Raw genomic sequence first — 20,171 nt, forward strand, 5'->3', positions numbered from 1 at the left:
GGGTTTCACTATGTTGGCCTGGATGGTCTCGATCTCCTGACCTCGTGATCTGCCCGCCTCGGCCTCCCAAAGTGCTGGGATTACAGGGGTGAGCCACCATGCCCAGCCAATTTTGTATTTTTTAGTAGAGATGGGGTTTCACCATGTTGGCCAGGCTGGTCTCAAACTCCTGACCCCAATTGATCCACCCACCTCGGCCTCCCAAAGTGCTAGGACTACAGGCATGAGCCACCATGCCAAGGTGTGGAAACAGTATTTTATTTTATTTTTATTTTTATTTTTGAGACGAAGTCTTGCTCTGTCACCCAGGCTGGAGTGCAGTGGTGCCATCTCAGCTCACTGCAAGCTCCGCCTCCCAGGTTCACGCCATTCTCCTGCCTCAGCCTCCCGAGTAGCTGGGACTACAGGCGCCCACCACCACGCCCGGCTAATTTTTTTGTATTTTTAGTAGAGACGGGGTTTCACCCTGTTAGCCAGGGTGGTCTTGATCTCCTGACCTCATGATCTGCCCGTCTCGGCCTCCCAAAGTGCTGGGATTACAGGCGTGAGCCACTGTGCCCGCCCAGAAACAGTACTTTAAAGCCTCACATATAATTTCCGGAAGCCAAGGTGAGCAGATCATTTGAGCTCAGGAGTTCGAAACCAGCCTGGGCAACAAGACGAGACCCTGTCTCTACAAGAAACAGAAAATTCAGTCAGTTGTGGTGGTGCATGCCTGTAGTCCCAGCTACATGGGAGGCTGAGGTGGGAGGATTGATTGAGCCCGGGAGGTCAAGGCTGCAGTGAGCCATGATTGCATCACTGTACTCCAGTGCGGGTGACAGAGTGAGACTCTGTCTCAAAATGAAACCAAAAAAAAAAAAACCCATACCTCAATATTACTGTTTTGATAATAGCTATCAGTGACACAAGCCCTCTTGCAGAACATTGAGTATATTCGTTTTTAAACAAGTCAGACGGGGCAGAAAACTATTTCCCTGAAAATGATAAAAATTTAGTTCTGCTGCCGGGTGCGGTGGCTCACGCCTGTAATCCCAGCACTTTGGGAGGCCAAGGCGGGCAGATCACTTGAGGTCAGGAGTTCAAGACCAGCCTGACCAGCATGGTGAAACCACGGCTTTACTAAAAATACAAAATTAGCTGGGCGTGGTGGCGCATGCCTGTAATCCCAGCTACTTGGGAGGCCGAGGTAGGAGAATTGCTTGAAGCTGGGAGGTGGAGGTTGCAGTGAGCTGAGATCGCACCATTGCACTCCAGCCTGGGGAACAAGAACAAGACTCCGTCTCAAAAAAGAAAAAAGAACTTTAGTTCTACTACCCGATAATACATATAAAATCATTAATACACAACCAGTATTACCGTGCTTCTAATTTTTTACAGAAGCCATACGGGAGAGAGACTCTGTGAAGGTAAAGAAGGTAGTCAATGTGCAGAAAACTTCAGTCCCAATCTCAGTGTGACGAAGAAGACTGCCGGAGTAAAACCATATGAGTGTACTATCTGTGGAAAAGCCTTCATGCGTCTCTCATCCCTTACTAGACACATGAGGTCTCACACTGGATACGAGCTATTTGAGAAGCCATATAAATGTAAGGAGTGTGAGAAAGCCTTTAGTTATCTCAAATCCTTTCAAAGACATGAAAGGAGTCACACTGGAGAAAAACCCTATAAATGTAAACAATGTGGAAAAACCTTCATATATCACCAGCCCTTTCAAAGACATGAGCGGACTCACATTGGAGAAAAACCCTATGAATGTAAGCAATGTGGAAAAGCTCTTAGTTGTTCCAGTTCGCTTCGAGTTCATGAAAGGATTCACACTGGAGAAAAGCCCTATGAATGTAAACAATGTGGGAAAGCCTTCAGTTGTTCCAGTTCTATTCGAGTACACGAAAGAACTCACACTGGAGAGAAACCCTATGCATGTAAGGAATGTGGGAAAGCCTTCATTTCCCACACAAGTGTTCTAACACACATGATAACACACAACGGAGATAGACCTTATAAATGCAAAGAATGTGGAAAGGCATTCATTTTTCCCAGTTTTTTACGAGTACATGAAAGAATTCACACTGGAGAGAAACCCTATAAATGTAAACAATGTGGTAAAGCCTTCAGATGTTCCACCTCCATTCAAATTCATGAAAGAATTCATACTGGAGAGAAGCCCTATAAATGTAAAGAATGTGGGAAATCTTTCAGTGCACGCCCAGCCTTTCGAGTACACGTGAGAGTGCATACTGGAGAGAAACCCTATAAGTGTAAAGAATGTGGGAAAGCCTTTAGTAGAATCAGTTACTTTCGAATACATGAAAGGACTCACACTGGAGAGAAACCCTACGAATGTAAAAAATGTGGGAAAACTTTCAATTATCCTCTAGATTTGAAAATCCACAAGAGAAATCACACTGGAGAAAAACCCTATGAGTGTAAGGAATGTGCAAAAACCTTCATTTCTCTTGAGAACTTTCGAAGACACATGATCACCCACACTGGAGACGGACCTTATAAATGTAGGGACTGTGGGAAGGTGTTCATTTTTCCTAGTGCGTTACGAACACATGAAAGAACTCACACTGGAGAGAAACCCTATGAATGTAAACAATGTGGAAAAGCCTTTAGTTGTTCTAGTTACATTCGGATACATAAAAGAACTCACACTGGGGAGAAACCTTATGAATGTAAGGAATGCGGGAAGGCCTTTATTTATCCCACAAGCTTTCAAGGACACATGAGAATGCATACTGGAGAGAAACCCTATAAATGTAAAGAATGTGGGAAGGCCTTTAGTCTTCACAGTTCCTTTCAAAGACATACAAGAATTCACAATTATGAGAAACCTCTTGAATGTAAGCAATGTGGAAAAGCCTTCAGTGTGTCCACATCCTTAAAAAAACATATGAGAATGCACAATCGATAGAAACTCTATAAATGTGAGAAATAGGAGAAAGTTTTCAATTCTAACAGATGCTTTCAAAGTTGTGAAAATTCCCACTGAAGAGAGAAATCCTGTCAATGTAAGTAATATAGAAAGCGAGATACAAGATGATTCATGTATAGTCAGGTACCACATAATCATGTTTCAGTCAGCAATGGACCATATAGGTTGGTAGCCCCATAAGATTATATAACACCTAAAACATTTCTATCAACCGCAATTTAGTAGCAGTAGTAACACCATAGTGCAGCACATTATTTAAGTGTTTATGGTGCTGGTGTAAACGTGCTGCACTTTCAGTTGTATAAAAGTACAAGACAGCGGCCGGGGACGGTGGCTCACGCCTGTAATCCCAGCACTTTGGGAGGCCAAGGCGGGCGGATCACGAGGCCAGGAGATCAAGACCATCCTGGCTAACACGGTAAAACCCCATCTCTACTAAAAATACAAACAATTAGCCGGGCGTGGTGGTGGGCGCCTGTAGTCCCAGCTACTTGGGAGGCTGAGGCAGGAGAATGGCATAAACCCAGGAGGCCGAGCTGACAGTGAGCTGAGATCCGGCCAACAGAGCGAGACTCTGTCTCAAAAAAAAAAAAAAAAAAAAAGTACAACACAGCTGGGCATGGTCACACCTGTGATCCCAACACTGGGAGACTAAGGCAGTAGGATTGCTTGATGCCAGGACTACTCTGGTCAACCTAGTGAGACCCTGTCTCTACAAAAAATAAAAACATTTTCTAAGTGTGGTAGCACACCCTGTAGTCCCATCTACATGGGAGGCTGAGGCAGGAGGATTGCCTGAGCCCAGGAGTTCAAGGCTACAGTGAACCAAGATCACGTGATGGCAGTCCAGCATGGGTGACAGTGAGACTGTATCAAAAAAAAAAAAAAAAAATTGGCTGGGCACAGTGGCTCATACCTGTAATCCCAGCACTTTGGGAGGCTGAGGTGGGAGAATCAGTTGAGGTCAGGAGTTCAAGACCAGCCTGGTCAACATGATGAAACCCTGTCTCCATTAGAAATACGAAAATTAGCTGGGCGTTCTGGTGTGCCTGTAGTCCCAGCTACTTGGGAGGCCAAAGCAGGAGAATCGCTTGAACCCGGGAGGTGGAGATTGCAGTGAGCTGAGATCTACCACTACACTCCAGCCTGGGTGACAGAGCGAGACTCCGTCTCGAAAAAAAAAAAATTACAGCACAGATGTGCAATATATACTTGATAATAAATGGCTAAGTTACTGGTTTATATATTTACAATCCTGTTTTAGAATGTATTCCTGTGTTTTTTTAACAGTAAGACAGTCTCAGGCAGGTCCTTAAGGAGATATTCCCGGAAAAACTTTGTTATGATAGGCGATGACGGCTCCATGTGCAGGACTGCCCCTGAACGTATTCTGGCGGGACAAAACATGGAGGCAGAAGACAATGATATTGATGATCCTCACCCCGTGTAGTCCTACACTAATGTGTGTTTGTGTCTTAGTTAGTCTTTAACAAAAATAGTTTAAAAAAATTTAATAGAAAAAGCTTATAGAATATGGACATAAAATATTTTTGTACAGCTGTACAATGTGTTTTAAGCTAAATTATTACAAAGTTTTTAAAAATAAGTTTATAAAGAAAATAATGTACAGTAAGTTAAGGTTTATTCATTATTGAGGAAAAAATGTTTTTATGAATGTAGTGTAGTCCAAGTGTACAGTGTTTATAAATTCTCCATTAGTGTACAGTAACATCCTGGGCCTTCGCATTCACTCACCACTCAACTGACTCACCCAGAGCAACTTCTAGTCCTGCAAGCTATGTTCATGGAGTGTCCTATGCAGGTGCATCCTTTTTTATCTTTTATACTGCATGTTTACTCTGTGTATTTTCTGTGTTTAGACTCATAAATACTTAACATTTTGTTACAATTTCCTACAGTGTTCAGTACAACAACATGTTGTATGGTTTATAGCCTAGTAGCAATAGACTGTACCATATAGTCTAGATGTGTTGTAGCTATACCATCTAGATTTGTGTAAGTTCACTTTGTGATGTTTGTACCATGAGGAAATCACCTACAACACGTTTCTCAGAACATATACCCATGATTAAGCAATCTCTGCCTGTAAAATGCTCCAGAAAATTCACACCATGATATAAATTCATCACACACGATATAAAAGTTAAGGCAAGGCATGGTGGCTCATGCCTGTAATCCCAGCACTTTGGGAGGCCAAGGCAGGCAGATCACCTGAGGTCAGGAGTTCGAGACCAGCCTGGCCAAGACGGTGAAACCCCATCTCTACTAAAAATACAAAAATTACCTGAGCGTGGTGGCATGCACCTGTAATTCCAGCTACTTGGGAGGCTGAAGCAGGAGAATCATTTGAACCTGGGAGGTGGAGGCTGCAGTGAGCTGAGATTGTGCCACTACACTCCAGCCTGGGCAACAGAGCAAGACTCCATCCCACACACCAAAAAAAAGTTAAAAATTTTTTATCACTGGCTCATTCTTCAAGTACATCTCTGGACTATGAATTGTAACTTAACTACTTTTCCAAGAAGTCTTGGAAGTGAGATAATTCTGTAAGTACTCTTTAAGCAGTGGTCAAAAGTTTAAAAGGTTGTGTTTTCTCATTAAATCAGTTAGTAAAACTTTTCTCTTTCTCTTGATGTCTTGATTCATGAGTAAACTGAAGTGTATTTTTTTTTTTTCGAGACGGAGTCTTGCTCTGTTGCCCAGGCTGGAGTTCAGCGGTGTGATCTCGGCTCACTGCAAGCTCCGCCTCCCGGGTCCACGCCATTCTCCTGCCTCAGCCTCCCCAGTAGCTGGGACTGCAGGCGCCCGCCACCATGCCCAGCTAATTTTTTTTGTATTTTTAGTAGAGATGGGGTTTCACCGTGTTAAGCCAGGATGGTCTCAATCTCCTGACCTCGTGATTCGACCGCCTCAGCCTCCCAAAGTGCTGGGATTACAAGCTTGAGCCACCGCACCCGGCCTGAAGTGTATTTTTTTTTTCTTTTAAAGACCAGTGTTAGTAGAAGTGTATTTTTAATATACAATTAGTTTTAATTTGTGTATAGTTTTTCAGTTGTTCTCTGAATAAAGAGATTGTTGAATACTGACACACTGTAACTAGGATTTTTCCTACTGGCCTCATGTGGAAGGTGGTGCATATATTACCCATTATATATTTATTTCACCTTTTCCGAAAAACTGCTTTTTAAATTTCTTGGCCAGACACGGTGGCTCACTCCTTTGTAATTCCAGCACTTTGGGAAACCAAGGCAAGCAGATCACTTGAGGTCAGGAGTTCGAGACCAACCTGGCCAACATGGTGAAATCCCATCTCTACTAAAAATACAAAAATTAGCTGGGCATGTTGGAGGGCACCTGTAATCTCAGCTACTTGGGAGGCTGAGGCAGGAGAAATGCTTGAACCTGGAAGTCAGAGGTTGCAGTGAGCCAAGATCACACCACTGCACTCCAGCCTGGACAACAGAACGAGACTCCATATCAAAAAAATTAAATTAAAATATAATAAATTTCTTGCCGGGCGCAGTGGCTCACACCTGTAATCCCAGCACTTTGGGAGGCCGAGGTGGGCGGATCACGAAGTCAGGAGATTGAGACCATCCTGGCTAATACAGTGAAACCCCGTCTCTACTATAAATACAAAAAATTAGCTGGGCATGGTGGCGGGCGTCTGTAGTCCCAGCTACTCAGGAGTCTGAGGCAGGAGAATGGTGTGAACCCGGGAGGCGGAGCTTGCAGTGAGCCGAGATCGTGCCACTGCAATCCAGCCTGGGCAGCAGAACGAGACTCCATCTCAAATAAATAAATAAATAAAATGAATTTCAGCTAGAAGAGCCTTATTCCATTTTCCTTTTTATTAAACATCTGGCATAAGTTGGTAAGTATGTGAAGTTTATCATATATTCTTATGCGAATTATTATTTTCGCCTTTTTTTTATAATTCTGTCTGGGATTTGAATAGTAGAGTTTGAATTCAGGAAGGACACCTGTGATAGGACAATAAAATCTAGAGCTGGACGTGGCCCTCCTGCTACCTGTCGACACAGGTAAATTTCCTAGAATCTGTTCCCTTTATAGATCCATGTTGAAATTCACTTATAGCCTCACTTGCATGAGATTTGCCAGGCAGAAGTGAAGAAGACATTAGTCAGGTATTGGAACCCCACCATACAGGGAGACAGCCTGCTTCCTGCTCATTTTCCTGGTTATTTTCTCTGCCAATCAAAAGTATCCTGAAAACACCCTGAGCTGCTTGACTTCCATTCTCAAAGAGATGTGTTGGTTTCCACAGTTGTCTCCACAAGCTCCGCATCAAAGATCCACGTACAGTTTGGATTTTCCTTCTAGCCTTCATGTGTGGCCCAAGCATCTATTTCAGACTGTCATGGTTGGCATTGTTCTCTGAGGTTCTGTCTTCCCTTTGTGTTTCTATGAGCTTTAATTTGTATGGTTCTTGTTCTGTTAATGCCACTAGGGACTATGTATTCCTGATTCCACCATGACAGCTACAGTAAAACAGTAAAAAAAAAAAAAAACAACTATATGGGAGTTTGTTCTCTTACTGCATTATACAGTGACTACTCTCCCCCATCCTTCCATTTGAGAATAATCACCTTCCTCATATCAGACAAATTGTGGGTGTTTCCAACTATTCCTGAATATTCTCCATCGGTTTATTTTCATTTATGTTTGGTTGTATGCAACTAAAATAATGCATTTTTTATTTATTTGAAGCAAAAGCTTCTTAGATGTTTCTTAGAAATATTTTGTTAACTGTTTCCAAACAACATGTATACTATCAAATATTATCATCATCTGGGTGCAGTGGCTCATGGCTGTAATCCCAACAATTTGGGAGGCTGAGGCAGGATTGCTTGAGGCCTGAAGTTGGAGACCAGCCTGGGCAACATAGTAAGACCCCATCTCTATTAGTTCAAAAACAAATAATTGTCTTCCCCGTTTCCTGAAAGGCTATATTAAAATATCCCATTACAGTTATGAATATTCAGATCAACTTTGTCATTTTGTCAAGATACATTCTGACTCAATATTAGCATGTGCATAAATGTTCTGGTATTTTTCCCTTAGATGTTTTTTATTCTTATACTTACATTTTGTCATAAAACAAAATTCTCTTCAAAACAGTGGTATTTTCAGTGCCCTATTGCCAGCAATCACCACGGTCACACCTGTATTCAGAATTAATTATGGTAATACAGTAGTCAATTCTGATCCAAAGTTTTGCTTTCTGTGGTTTTAGTCACTCATGGTCAAACACAGTCCAAAAATACTTAGTGGAAAATTCCAGAAATAAATGTTTCATAGACTTATTTATTTATTTATTTATTTGAGACAGAGTCTCACTCTGTCGCCTAGGCTGGAGTGCAATGGCGCGATCTCAGCTCACTGAAACCTCTGCCTCCGAGGCTCAAGCAATTCTCCTGCCTCAGCCTCCCGAGTAGCTGGGATTACAGGCATGTGCCAACATGCCCAGCTAATTTTTGTATTTTTGGTAGAGATAGGGTTTCACCATGTTGGTCAGGCTGGTCTGGAACTCCTAGCCTCAGGTGATCCACCCACCTCAGCCTCCCAAAGTGCTGGGATTCCTCCCATCTTACACATGAAAAAACAGAGGCAGAGAGAGCACAGGGTCTTTCCCAAACTCATGTAAATCAGAATTATAGAGTCTCAAAGTTTTGAAGTTCTAGTGTGTTCCACCACCTGTCAAACTTTTTTTTTTTTTTTGAGATGAGGTCTTGCTCTATCACCCAGGCTAGATTGCAGCGGTGCGATCATAGTTCACTGTCACCTTGACTTCTGGGGAGTGATCCTCCTGCCTCAGCCTCCCAAGTAGTTGGGACTGCAGGTGCATGCTTCCATAAGCGGACTTAGAAAATTTGAATGAGGCCGTACTGGGTGCCTCATGCCTGTCATCTCAACACTTTAGGAGGCTGAGGTGGGAGGATGGTTTGTGCCCAGGAGTTCCACGTGGCAGTGAGCTGTGATTACACCACTGCACAGCAACCTGGGCGACAGTGAGGCTCAGTCGTGTTGAAAAAAGAAAAGACAGAGAGAGAAAGAAAAGAAAAAGAGAGAAAGAAAGAAAAAGAAAGGAAAGAGAAAGAAAGCAAAAGAAAGAAAAGCAGAGATATGAGAGAAGGAAGGAAGGAAGGGAAGGAGAAAAAAGGAAAAAAAAAAAGAACTGAGACCCCATCTCTACAAAAGTAAAAAATTAGCTGGGTGTGGTGGGGCACACCTGTGATTCCAGCTACTCCAGAGGCTGAGGTGGGAGGATGGCTTGAGCCCAAGAGTTCGAGCCTGCAGTGAGCCATGATCATGCCACTGCACTCAGACCTGGGTGACACAGTTCATGTCAGCCACCTTCCAAAACAGGCAAGAATGCTATGTGTGTCATAGCCTATAATTTGTACCACATTAAGGTTGCTTTGATCTAGGGCAGAACTTATGAGTCCTTTTTTTTTTTTTTTTTTTTTTTGAGAAGGAGTCTTGCTCTGCCACCCAGGCTGGAGTGCAGTGGCGCGATATTGGCTCACTGCAAGCTCCGCCTCCTGGGTTCACGCCATTCTCCCACCTCAGCCTCCTGAGTAGCTGGGACTATAGGCACCCGCCACCATGCCTGGCTAATTTTGTTTTTATATTTTTAGTAGAGATGGGGTTTCACCGTGTTAGTCAGGATGGTCCCGATCTCCTGACCTCGTGATCCGCCCGCCTCGGCCTCCCAAAGTGCTGAGATTACAGGCGTGAGCCACTGCACCCGGCCAAAGCACCATTCTCTAAAATCCCCACCAAGCCTTTGTCTCCTTGCAGTTAGCTCCTCTCTGGGTGTGCTGCCTGGTGGAACCCTGTAATGTATTTTCTTTCTTTCTTTCCTTTTTTTTTTTTTTTTTTTTTTTTTGAGACGGAGTCTCACTCTGTCGCCCAGGCTGAAGTGCAGTGGTGCGATACCGGCTCACTGCAACCTCCGCCCCCCGGGTTCAAGCGATTCTCCTGCCTCAGCCTCCCGAGTGGCTGGGATTACAGGCGCCCGCCACCGCGCCCGGCTAATTTTTATATTTTTAGTAGAGACGGGATTTCACCATGTTGGCCAGGCTGGTCTCAAATTCCTGACCTCAGGTGATCCACCTGCCTCAGCCTCCCAAAGTGCTGGGATTACAGACGTGAGCCACCGCGCCCGGCCAACCTTGTCTCTTAAAAGTAAAAACAAAATGAGAGATAAGAAGAAATATTTTTGGAAGGCGCACAGGGGAATAAAGCCACCAGGGCATTTTAATCATAAACTCCTTGTCCCATCAAGGCCATCCCTACCCTTTGCCCTCCCCTCCCCAAGACCTACCCTGCCCCGCCCCATCCTGGCCCCCTCCAGCCTTCATCCCCCTTTTTCCCCTCTTTCCCCACTTTGTCTCCTCTTCCCCACTTTATCACCTCTTGCCCCTGTGCGGCCCCGCCGAACTGGAAACGTTTCCAGCAGGTGATTCAGATGCGCCTGTGCAGGACTGTGACCAGGTGCAAGTCGCCCTCCCCTGACCTCCCTGTTTAGCCTGAATGATCCTTCCCAAGTGTGTTGCTCCATTCTCGCGCTGCTATAAAGAACTACCTGAGCTGGGCGCGATGGCTCACGCCTGTAATCACAGCACTTTGGGAGGCTGAGGCGGGTGGATCACCTGAGGTCAGGAGTTTGAGACCAGCCTGACTAACATGGTGAAACCCCATCTCTACTACTAATAATAAAAAAATTAGCCGGGCGTCATGGCTCACGTCTGTAATTCCAGCTACTCAGGAGGCTCAAGCAGGAGAATCCCTTGAACCCGGGAGGCAGAGGTTGCAGTGAGCGGGGATCACGTCATTGCACTCCAGCCTGGGCAACAAGAGTGAAACTCCGTCTCAAAAAAAAGAAAAAAGAAAAAAACTACCTGAGGCTGGGTAATTCACGAATAAAAGAGGTTTAATTGACTCACAGTTCTGCAGGCTGTACAGGAAGCAAGGCTGGGAGGCCTCAGGAAACTTATCAAGGCGGAAGGCTACTGGGGATCGAGTCAGTCTTCACTTGAAGCAGGAGGGATCAGGAGAGAGCACGAAGTGGGAAGTGCCGCACATCTTTAAACCATCAGATCTCCTGAGAACTATCACGAGAACAGCAAGGGGAAAGCCGCCCCCATGATCTAATCACCTCCCAGCAGGTCCCTCTCCTGGTATTAGAAATTAAAATTGAACATGAGATTTGGTTGGGGACACACAGCCAAACCATATCACCAAGGTTTTCTGTAAGTGTCTGATGAATACGCACAGTGGGAACTGCAGCTGAGCTTTAGGTGGCATCCTAAAAGCCTCTTTGTCAGCCTGAGCCCGTGTCCTCTTAAGAGGGAGAGTTGGGGCTGGGTGCGGTGGCTCACGCCTGTAATCCCAGCACTTTGAGAGACCGAGGCGGGTGGATCATGAGGTCAGGAGTTCCAGAGCAGCTGGCCAACATGATGAAACCCCGTCCGTACTAAAAATACAAAAATTAGCCGGGCGTGGTGGCGGGCGCCTGTAATCCCAGCTACTTGGGAGGCTGAGGCAGGAGAATCGCTTGAACCCAGGAGGCAGAGGTTGCAGTGAGCCGAGATTACACCACCGCACTCCAGCCTGGGCAACAGAGCGAGACTCTCTCAAAAAAAAAAAACAAAAAAAAAAAACGGGGTGGGCGACTTGGAAAAGATTTCAGGACTCACTCTCAGCGACGGTGCCCCACGTGAGTTGGAGGCCAGGAGCAAGGTGCCTTCCTGGGCCTCCCTGGCTGCGATCCTGTCCTCAGGAGGGCGACCCCAGTCACGTGCGACCGCTCAAGGCGGTCCTCAGAAGCGGAGGGGACCTCCGCGGGCCAGTAGGCCTTCAGAATTCTTAGAAATCACTCACCCCCGTCCTGCAGTGACAATCTCAGGAGAGCCTGTCTACAGACTGGCGCCTGTAGAGAAGATCCTGCCATTGCCCCTGGCTTCCAGGAACTGAACTGGATTCTGAGCATCATGGCAGAATCTTATCCCACCTATGCAGCAGGCTAGCTCCAGGGAGAAAATATAAACGTCAGGCCGGGCGTGGTGGCTCACGCCTGTAATCCTAGCACTTTGAGAGGCCGAGGCAGGCGTATCACGAGGTCAGGAGATCGAGACCTTCCTGGCTAACACAGTGAAACCCCATCTCTATTAAAAATACAAAAAATTATTCAGGCGTGGTGGCGGGCGCCTGTAGTCCCAGCTACTCGGGAGGCTGAGGCAGAAGAATGACGTGAACCCGGGAGGCGGAGCTTGCAGGGAGCCAAGATGGCGCCACTGCACTCCAGCCTGGGCGACAGAGCCAGACTCCGTCTCAAAAAAAAAAAAAAAAAAGAAAAGAAAATATAAACGCCAACAAACAGGTAATTCCCAATCACCGGCAAGACCCCGCCGGATTGGACCCCGACCCTCAGCAGAGGCCACCTTGTCCGGGTCTCACTCTAACCTGTACCGCGGCCCCAAGATATCAGAGGCTGCCTTGGTGGACCCGGGGCACTTTCCACAGAACTCCCTGAATGGCCAAGGCTGGCCCTGGCCTCAATAGGCCAACTCAGCAAACGTGGAGAAGGCAGGGAACGGTGGGTAAGGGAAGTCATCCCAACATTTTGGGAGTCCGAGGCGTTATATGGCTTGAACCCAGGAGTTCAAGATCAGCCTGGGCAATATAGCAAGACCCCATCCTTTTTTGAGACTGAGTCTTGCTCTGTCGTCCAGGCGGGAGTGCAGTGGTGCAATCTCAGCTTACTGCAACCTCTACCTCCCAGGTTTGAGCGATTCTCCTGCCTCAACCTCCTAAGTAGCTGGAATTACAGTTGCCCGCCACCACGCTCGGCTAATTTGTTTTTTGTTTTTTGTTTTTTGCTTTTGAGACGGAGTCTTGCTCTGTCGCCCAGGCTGGAGTGCCGTGGCGCAATCTCGGCTCACTGCAAGCTCCCCTTCCGGGGTTCATGCCATTCTCCTGCCTCAGCCTCCCGAGTAGCTGGGACTACAGGCACCCGCCACCACACCCGGCTGTTTTTTTGTATTTATAGTAGAGACGGGGTTTCACCATGTTAGACAGGATGGTCTCGATATCCTGACCTCGTGATCCGCCCGCTTCAGCCTCCCAAAGTGCTGGGATTACAGGCGTGAGCCACCGGGCCCAGCCTTTTTTTTTTTATTTTTAGTAGAGACAGGTTTCACCATGTTGGCCAGGCTGGTCTGGAACTCGTGACCTCAAGAGATCCACCCACCTCGGCCTCCCAAAGTGTTGGGATTACAGGAGTGAGCCACCGCAACTGGCTACCATTTCTAATAAAAGCAAACTTTTGTTCAAGTGTATTCATCAAAAAGGCCCCTCGCATGTGACCACAGCCAAGCCAGGAAGCCTTCTTCAGGTATCCCTAGCCAGCCTGCAGGAGGTCTTGGAAACTTGTTCAACGGATAAATATAACTGGGCCCACAAAGAATCACAGGAATACTTAATCCCTCCAGCCTCCAGGGCCAGCCTGGCCCCAGCTGTGTAGGGGGGCTTAGAAGTGTCTTCAGGACTCATCTAACTACCAGGCCCAATCTGGCGGTGGGCAGAACCTGGGGCCCTTCCCACAGCAGTCCGAGGACCTTCCTGACTGTGATCCTGGCCCCAGCAGGGGGACCTAGAAAACGCCAATGAAGCTGTGGGCAAGCAGGCACCAGGTGGGAAAGCGGCCAAGCTCAGGGCACCCTACTCCGCTCACCTGCGACGGCAGCAGCCAGTCCCCACGGGCGGAGGGGACCTCATGCGACATTCAGCCCGCGAGATTCTCAGAGACTGCTCGCCCGCAACACGCAGTAACGATCTCAGGAGAGCCCATGATGGGGCGGCGCGTGTCGTAGCCGAGAAGACTCTGTCATCGCCGGCGACCTCCTGGAACTCTCTCTTGCGGTTTGCAGCCAGATCACTTCCCATACACGCGGCAGCCAAGCTCAGGGGATGGCATCAGACTGACCCTAGGTGGCGCTCGAACACCCGCCGGACCTCACCAGACAGGCACTTTCCCCAGTCTACACCGCCTGGTTCGGGTCCCACATGAACCTGTAATACACTCGGCCCAAAGCGGTCAGAGGATGGCCTGGTGGGCCCGGGGCACCCTCCACGGAACTCCCTGAATGGCCAGGGCTGATCCCAGCCTCCATAGGCAGACAGAAAATGTGAATGAAGCCCTGCTGGATGCCTCATGCCTACCACCTCAACACTTTGGGAGGCCGAGGCGGGAGGAGAGATGTGCCCTGGAGATGATGCAGTGCGCTATGATCGCATCATTGCACAGCAGCCTGGGTGACAGCGAGACTCGGTCGCGGGAAAAATAAAACAAAAAACAAAAACAAACCAAAAAAAATGAAAGAGAGAGGGAGAGGGAGGGTGGAAGGAGGGAGGAAGGAAGGGAGAGAGGGAGGGAGGGAAGGAGGGAAAAAGAAAGAGAAAAGGAAAAAGAGGCCGGGCGCGGCGGCTCACGCCTGTAATCCCAGCACTTTGGGAGGCCGAGGCGGGCAGCTCACCTGAAATTGGGAGTTCGAGACCAGCCTGACCAACATGGAGAAAACCCTTCTCTACTAAAAATACAAAAATTAGCTGGGTGTGGTGGCGCATGCCTGTAATCCCAGCTACTAGGGAGGCTCAGGTAGGAGAATCGTTTGAACCCGGGAAGAGCAGGTTGCAGTGAGCCAAGATCCCGCCATTGCACTCCAGCCTGGGCAACAAGAGTAAAACTCTGTCTCAAAACAAAACACCAAAAAAAAAAATAAATAAAAAATAACCCACAAGAGTGAAAGTCTGTCTCAAAAAAAAGGAAAGAAAATGAAGAAGAACATTCAAGATGGAAGGAAGGGAGGGAAGGGAAAGAAAGAAAGGAGGGAGGGAGTGAGGGAGGGAAAGAAAAAGAAAGAGAAAAGAAAAAAAAGGAACATTTGGGAAGGCCCACAGGGGAATGAAGCCACAACAATATCCTACTCAGAACCTCCTTCTCCCATCAAAACCATCCCTCTACCTCCCCTTCCCCCTGCTTTCCCCGCCACTGCTTCTGCGGCTCCCAGTGATCCCCCTCCTTTTACCCTCCCCGTCCCTCTCTTCATGCCCCTATTCCTATCTCCTATCACTCAGAATTGGCAACGTTTTCAGCAGGTGCTTCAGACGCGTCTGCATAGGACTGTGACCAAGTCCAAGTCGCCCACCCTTAGCCCTCCCTGTTTGGCCCCAGTCATCCCTCCAGACGTTTTCTGAAGGTGTCCGATGAATGGTCGCCATGGAAACTGCAGCTGGGGTCTGGGTGCCCTCCTTCATCCTCCCTGTATGCCTGGGCGAGTGTCCCTTCTTAAAAGGGGCCTTGGGAAAAATTTCAGGACGCACTTTCTGCGACGGTACCTTATGTGAGTCGGTGGGCAGGAGCTGTGTGCCCTCTGGGGTCCCTGGCTGCGATCCTGGCCCCAGGAAGGGGACCTAGAAAACTTTTCCAGTAGGCTGGGCATGGGCTCATGACTGTAATCCTAGCAGTTTGGGAGGCCGAGGCAGGCAGATCACTTGAGGTCAGGAGTTTGAGCCCAGCCTGGCCAACATGGTGAAACCCCGTCTCTACTAAAAATACAAAAATTATCCGTGCGTGGTGGCACGTGCCTGTAATCCTAGCTACTCGGGAGGCTAAGGCAGGAGAATCGCTTGAACCCAGGAGGCAGAGGTTGCAGTGAGCCGAGATCGCGCCACTGCACTCCAGCCTGGGCAACAGAGCGGGACTCTGTCTTCAAAAAAAAAAGAAAAGAAAAAGAAAAAAAGAGGCCCGGCGCGGTGGCTCACGCCTATGTAATCCCAGCGCTTTGGGAGGCCGAGGTGGGCGGATCACGAGGTCAGGAGATCGAGAACACCCTGGCTAACACGGTGAAACCCCGTCTCTACTAAAAATACAAAAAGCCGCGCCTGTAGTCCCAGCTACTCGGGAGGCGGAGTTTGCAGTGAGCACCACTGCACTCCAGCCTGGGTGACAGACCGAGACTCCATCTCAAAAAAAAAAAAGAACGAAAATGTATCCAGTGATGCTGTGAACAACCCGGCACCAGATGGGAAAGCGGCTGAGCCCAGGGCGCCCTACCCCATTCACCTGCGACGGCACCAGTCGGTCTCCAAGGGCAGAGGGACCTTCATACGCCACTCTTCTTCCGCGATTCTCAAAGATTCCCATCCCGCAGTAATGATCTCAGGCTCCCCCGGATCCCGCAGTAACTATCTCAGGAGAGTCCATTATGCAGCACCGCGTGTGGCCGGCCGAGAAGACCTTGCCATCTCCTTCGGTCTCCTGGAACACTGTCCTGGGCTCTCCGGCCGGATCTTGTCCCACACACGCGACAACCGAGCTCCGGGGACGATATCAGAGTGATCACAAAGTGGCGCCCGACCACCGGTGGGACTGCGCCGGACCTGGACCTTCCCCTACCGGACCAGATGCCACCTGGTCAGGGTCTCACTCCAACTTGTGTCTCGGCCCAAAGCAGTCAGAGGGTAGCCTGCTGGGCCCGGGCCACCCTCCACGGATTCCCTGAATGGCCAGGGCTGATTCCCAGCCTCTACAGGCTGGCTTAGAAAAATTAGGGAGAGGCTGGGCATGGCAGCTCAAGCAAGTCATCCCAACACTTTGGGAGGCTGAGACGGGGGGATTGCTTGAGCCCAGGATTCTGAGGTTGCAGTGTGTTTTGATCAGGCCAGCACACTCCAACATGGGTGATAGAGGGAGTCCCAGTCTCCCTTCCCGGGTTCATGCCAGTCTCCTGCCTCGGCCTCCCGAGTAGCTGGGACTACAGGCACCCGCCACCATGACCAGCTAATTTTTTGTTGTTGTTTTTTTTTTTTTTGTATTTTTTAGGTGGACAGGAAGTAGAATTTATTGGTGAGTATTAAGAGGGGGGCAGCACATTGGAAGCCCTCATGAGTGCAGGGCCCACCACTTGTCCAGAGGGCCACGATTGGGGATATACTTGACCCCACAGCCATCTGGGATGAGCCGCTTTTCAGCCACCATGTCTTCAAATTCATCAGCATTGAACTTGGTGAAGCCCCACTTCTTTGAGATGTGGATCTTCTGGCGGCCAGGAAACTTGAACTTGGCCCTGCGCAGGGCCTCAATCACACGCTCCTTGTTCTGCAGCTTGGTGCGGATGGACATGATAACTTGGCCAATGTGAACCCTGGCCACAGTGCCCTGGGGCTTTCCAAAGGCACCTCGCATTCCTGTTTGGAGCCTGTCAGCCCCAGCACAGGACGACATCTTGTTGATGCGGATGACGTGGAAGGGGTGGAGCCGCACCCGGATATGGAAGCCATCTTTGCCACAACTTTTTACCATGTACTTATTGGCACAAATTCGGGCAGCCTCCAGGGCTTCAGAGGACAGCTGCTCATATTCATCTGACACCATGTGGCCACAGAGCGGAAACTCATCCACTTTTGCCTTTTTCCGCCCCAGGTCAAAAATGCGAATCTTGGCATCAGGGACACCTCGGCAGAAGCGAGACTTTGGGTACGGCTTGTTCTTACAATACCGGTAACAACGGGCGGGGCGGCGGCCCATGGCGACACCAGGATCTTCAGTGGCACACTGAAGGGAAAGAGAAATTTTTTGTATTTTTAGTGGAGATGGGGTTTCACCATGTTGGCCAGGATGGTCTCAATCCGGAGACTTTTTAAGGTTTTCAGGGGGTTCATCCTGTGGCCAGATTCTATGCAGCAGGACAACTATGCTGGGGTGCCCTTCTCGGGCCTCTCTGGCTCACCTGTAATAATCCTTGTCTTTAGAGGGTGACTTAGACAAATTTTCAAGGAGCACATCCAGGAACCAGGCCCCATGTGTGACCAAAACTAAGCCTGGGTTGCTCTGCCCTATGGTTCCTAGCTGACCTAAGCTGTTTCCTTATCCCCACCCCATCCCCAAGGACTTACAAATATTTCCTGGAGGCACATCCCACAATCAGAGGCCTCTGCAGGATGACAGCCCACCTGTGGTCCTTCTGCTGGCCTCCTTCTTTGGCTGCGACCAGTCCCTACCACTGGCTGGGACACAGGAAACTTTGCACTCAGAGCCTCCTATGAAGGAGCCCACATGGGGCTGTGGGCAAACTCAGGTCACCCTCTCCAGGCCTCTCTGGTTGGCCAGGTCCAATCTCTCTTCCTGGAGAGGGACTTATAAAAGTTTTCTGCGGAGGAGTCACATGTTAAAACAGGGACGCATGTGGGACCAGGGCTGAGCCTGAAGAGTACTCCACAGTCCTCCTTACTCAGCCCAGGCCAGTCACTACCATAGGAGAGGGACTTAGAAATATTTTTGGTGGGGGTGATACCTCCAGTAACAGGTCCAATACGGCAGACAGGTGCAGGGAGCCCTTTTCAGGCCTCACAAGCTGGCCCAGCCCTCCGTCAAGAAGGAAACTTGAAAAAGAACACATCTGGGCTGGGCGCGGTGGCTCACGCCTGTAATCCCAGCACTTTGGAAGGCTGAGACAGGCAGATCACGGGGTCAGGAGATCAAGACCATTCCGCCTTACACGGTGAAACCCCATCTCTACTAAAAATACAAAAAACTAGCCGGGCATGGTAGCAGGCGCCTGTAGTCCCAGCTACTCGGGAGGCTGAGGCAGGAGAATGGCGTGAACCTGGGAGGCAGAGCTTGCAGTGAGCCGAGATCGCACCACTGCATTCCAGCCTGGGCGACAGAGCGAGACTCCATCTCAAAAAAAAAAAAAAGAAAAAGAGCACATCTGGTGACCATGCCCCAAGTGGGACCACAGCAGAGTGTCCCCTGGCACCCCACCCTGGCATCCCTAGGTGGCCCATGCTAACTGGCCCATTGGAGGGGTTCTCAGAGGAAACATTAGAGGACCAACATGATACCACCCTCCCTGGGCTTCCCTGTCCACCCTGGGCCAGTCCTTGTCATCAGAGGGGGCCTAAGAAACATATGCTGTTGGTGCTTGCAAACTGACCCCAGAACACTTAAAAACTTTTTATTTGTATTTATTTATTTTTTTGAGATGGAGTCTCACTCTGTCACCAGGCTGGAGTGCAGTGACACAATCTCGCCTCACTGCAACCTCCGCCTCCTGGGTTCAAGTGATTCTCCTGCCTCAGCCTCCTGAGTAGCTGGGACTACAGGTGTGTGCCACCATGCCCAGCTAATTTTTGTATTTTTAGTAGAGAAGGGGTTTCACCATGTTGGCCAGGATGGTCTCAATCCCTTGACCTTGTGATCCATGTGACTCAGCCTCCCAAAGTGCTGGGATTACAGGTGTGAGCCACCACGCACTGCCTACTTTTTTTTTTTTTTTCTAGAGACAGGGTCTCACTCTGTCACCCAGGCTGGAGTACAGTGGAGCCATCATGGTTCACTGCAGCCTCAAACTTTTGGGCTCAAGCAATCCTCCCACCTCAGCCTCCCAAGTAGTAGCTGGGGATTATAAATGCACGCCATCCTATCTGGATAATTTTCTAATTTTTAATTTTTTTTTCAAGAGATAGGATCCAGACTGGTTGCAGTGGCTCATGCCTGTAATCCCAGCACTTTGGGAGGCCAAGGCAGGTGGATCACTTGAGGTCAGGAGTTTGAGGCCAGCCTGGCCAACATGGTGAAACCCCATCTCTACTAAAAATACAAAAATGAGCCAGGCATGGTGGGGGGCGCCTGTAGTCCCAGCTACTCGGAAGGCTGAGGCAAGAGAATCGCTAGAACCCGGAAGGCGGAGGTTGCAGTGAGCCAAGATTGCGCCACTGCACTCCAGCCTAGGCGACAGAGGGAGACTCTGTCCCTCACACACACACACACACACACGAAGAGATAGGATCTGGCTCTCTTGCCCAGGCTGGAGTGCAGTGGTGTGATTATCACTTACTGCAGCCTTGACCTCCTGTGCTCAAGCAATTCTCCCAAGTAGTTGGGAATACAGACACTTCACCCAGCTAATTTTTTAAATTTTTTGTACATACAGGGCCTCATTTTGTGGCCCAGGCTAGTCTAGATCTCCTGGGCTCAAGTGATTCTCTCTCCTCAGCCTCCAGAGTTGTTAGGATTACAGGAGCAAGCCACCACACCCGGCTCTGGGTCATAAATTCTGTCCCCCTCTAACAAGCAAATAACAGACAAAAAAAACCCACACTCAGTCACAGAGCGACC

General features: G+C 48.7%; 1 protein-coding gene, 1 long non-coding RNA gene and 1 pseudogene across 3 annotated transcripts in view, besides 5 other annotated features; 1 reads left to right on the top strand and 2 right to left on the bottom strand.

Annotated features, from left to right (window-relative positions):
• Window positions 1-7,494, top strand: part of ZNF791 (zinc finger protein 791) — a 22,915-nt gene extending 15,421 nt beyond the window's left edge. Inside the window, exon 4 of the mRNA NM_153358.3 lies at window positions 1,381-7,494. Coding sequence (NP_699189.2) covers window positions 1,381-2,920 — 1,540 coding nt within the window. The 3' untranslated portion in view covers window positions 2,921-7,494. The remainder of the gene's footprint in view (window positions 1-1,380) is intronic.
• Window positions 6,799-16,804, bottom strand: LOC105372279 (uncharacterized). 2 transcript variants are annotated; one of them, XR_007067142.1, is made up of 4 exons: window positions 16,116-16,804; window positions 13,725-14,062; window positions 10,936-11,100; window positions 6,799-8,148 (listed from the first exon to the last, which is right to left on the bottom strand). It is a non-coding gene; the product is annotated as an uncharacterized LOC105372279 (long non-coding RNA). The 2 variants fall into 2 exon arrangements; XR_001753869.3 differs by lacking the exon at window positions 16,116-16,804 and having other exon boundaries at window positions 13,725-14,356.
• Window positions 13,666-13,735: an enhancer, noted in NCBI's record as "active region_14061". NCBI's record gives its function as "activates an Ori minimal core promoter by ATAC-STARR-seq in GM12878 lymphoblastoid cells {active_cell/tissue: GM12878}" and the evidence as "EXISTENCE:reporter gene assay evidence [ECO:0000049][PMID:35858748]".
• Window positions 13,666-14,209: a biological region, named in NCBI's record as "H3K4me1 hESC enhancer GRCh37_chr19:12750843-12751363".
• Window positions 13,689-14,209: an enhancer, noted in NCBI's record as "H3K4me1 hESC enhancer chr19:12750843-12751363 (GRCh37/hg19 assembly coordinates)". NCBI's record gives its function as "activates a minimal SCP1, AML or CMV promoter by ChIP-STARR-seq in naive H9 embryonic stem cells {active_cell/tissue: H9 hESC(naive)}" and the evidence as "EXISTENCE:reporter gene assay evidence [ECO:0000049][PMID:30033119]".
• Window positions 13,766-13,885: an enhancer, noted in NCBI's record as "active region_14062". NCBI's record gives its function as "activates an Ori minimal core promoter by ATAC-STARR-seq in GM12878 lymphoblastoid cells {active_cell/tissue: GM12878}" and the evidence as "EXISTENCE:reporter gene assay evidence [ECO:0000049][PMID:35858748]".
• Window positions 16,872-17,620, bottom strand: RPL10P16 (ribosomal protein L10 pseudogene 16; annotated as a pseudogene).
• Window positions 16,952-18,151: an enhancer, noted in NCBI's record as "BRD4-independent group 4 enhancer chr19:12754106-12755305 (GRCh37/hg19 assembly coordinates)". NCBI's record gives its function as "activates an origin of replication core promoter dependent on BRD2, P300/CBP, MED14 and CDK7 cofactors, and independent of BRD4, by STARR-seq in HCT116 cells {active_cell/tissue: HCT116}" and the evidence as "EXISTENCE:reporter gene assay evidence [ECO:0000049][PMID:35650434]".

Source organism: Homo sapiens, chromosome 19 (assembly GCF_000001405.40).
Source record: "Homo sapiens chromosome 19, GRCh38.p14 Primary Assembly".
In the NCBI taxonomy this organism is placed as follows: Eukaryota; Metazoa; Chordata; class Mammalia; order Primates; family Hominidae; genus Homo; species Homo sapiens.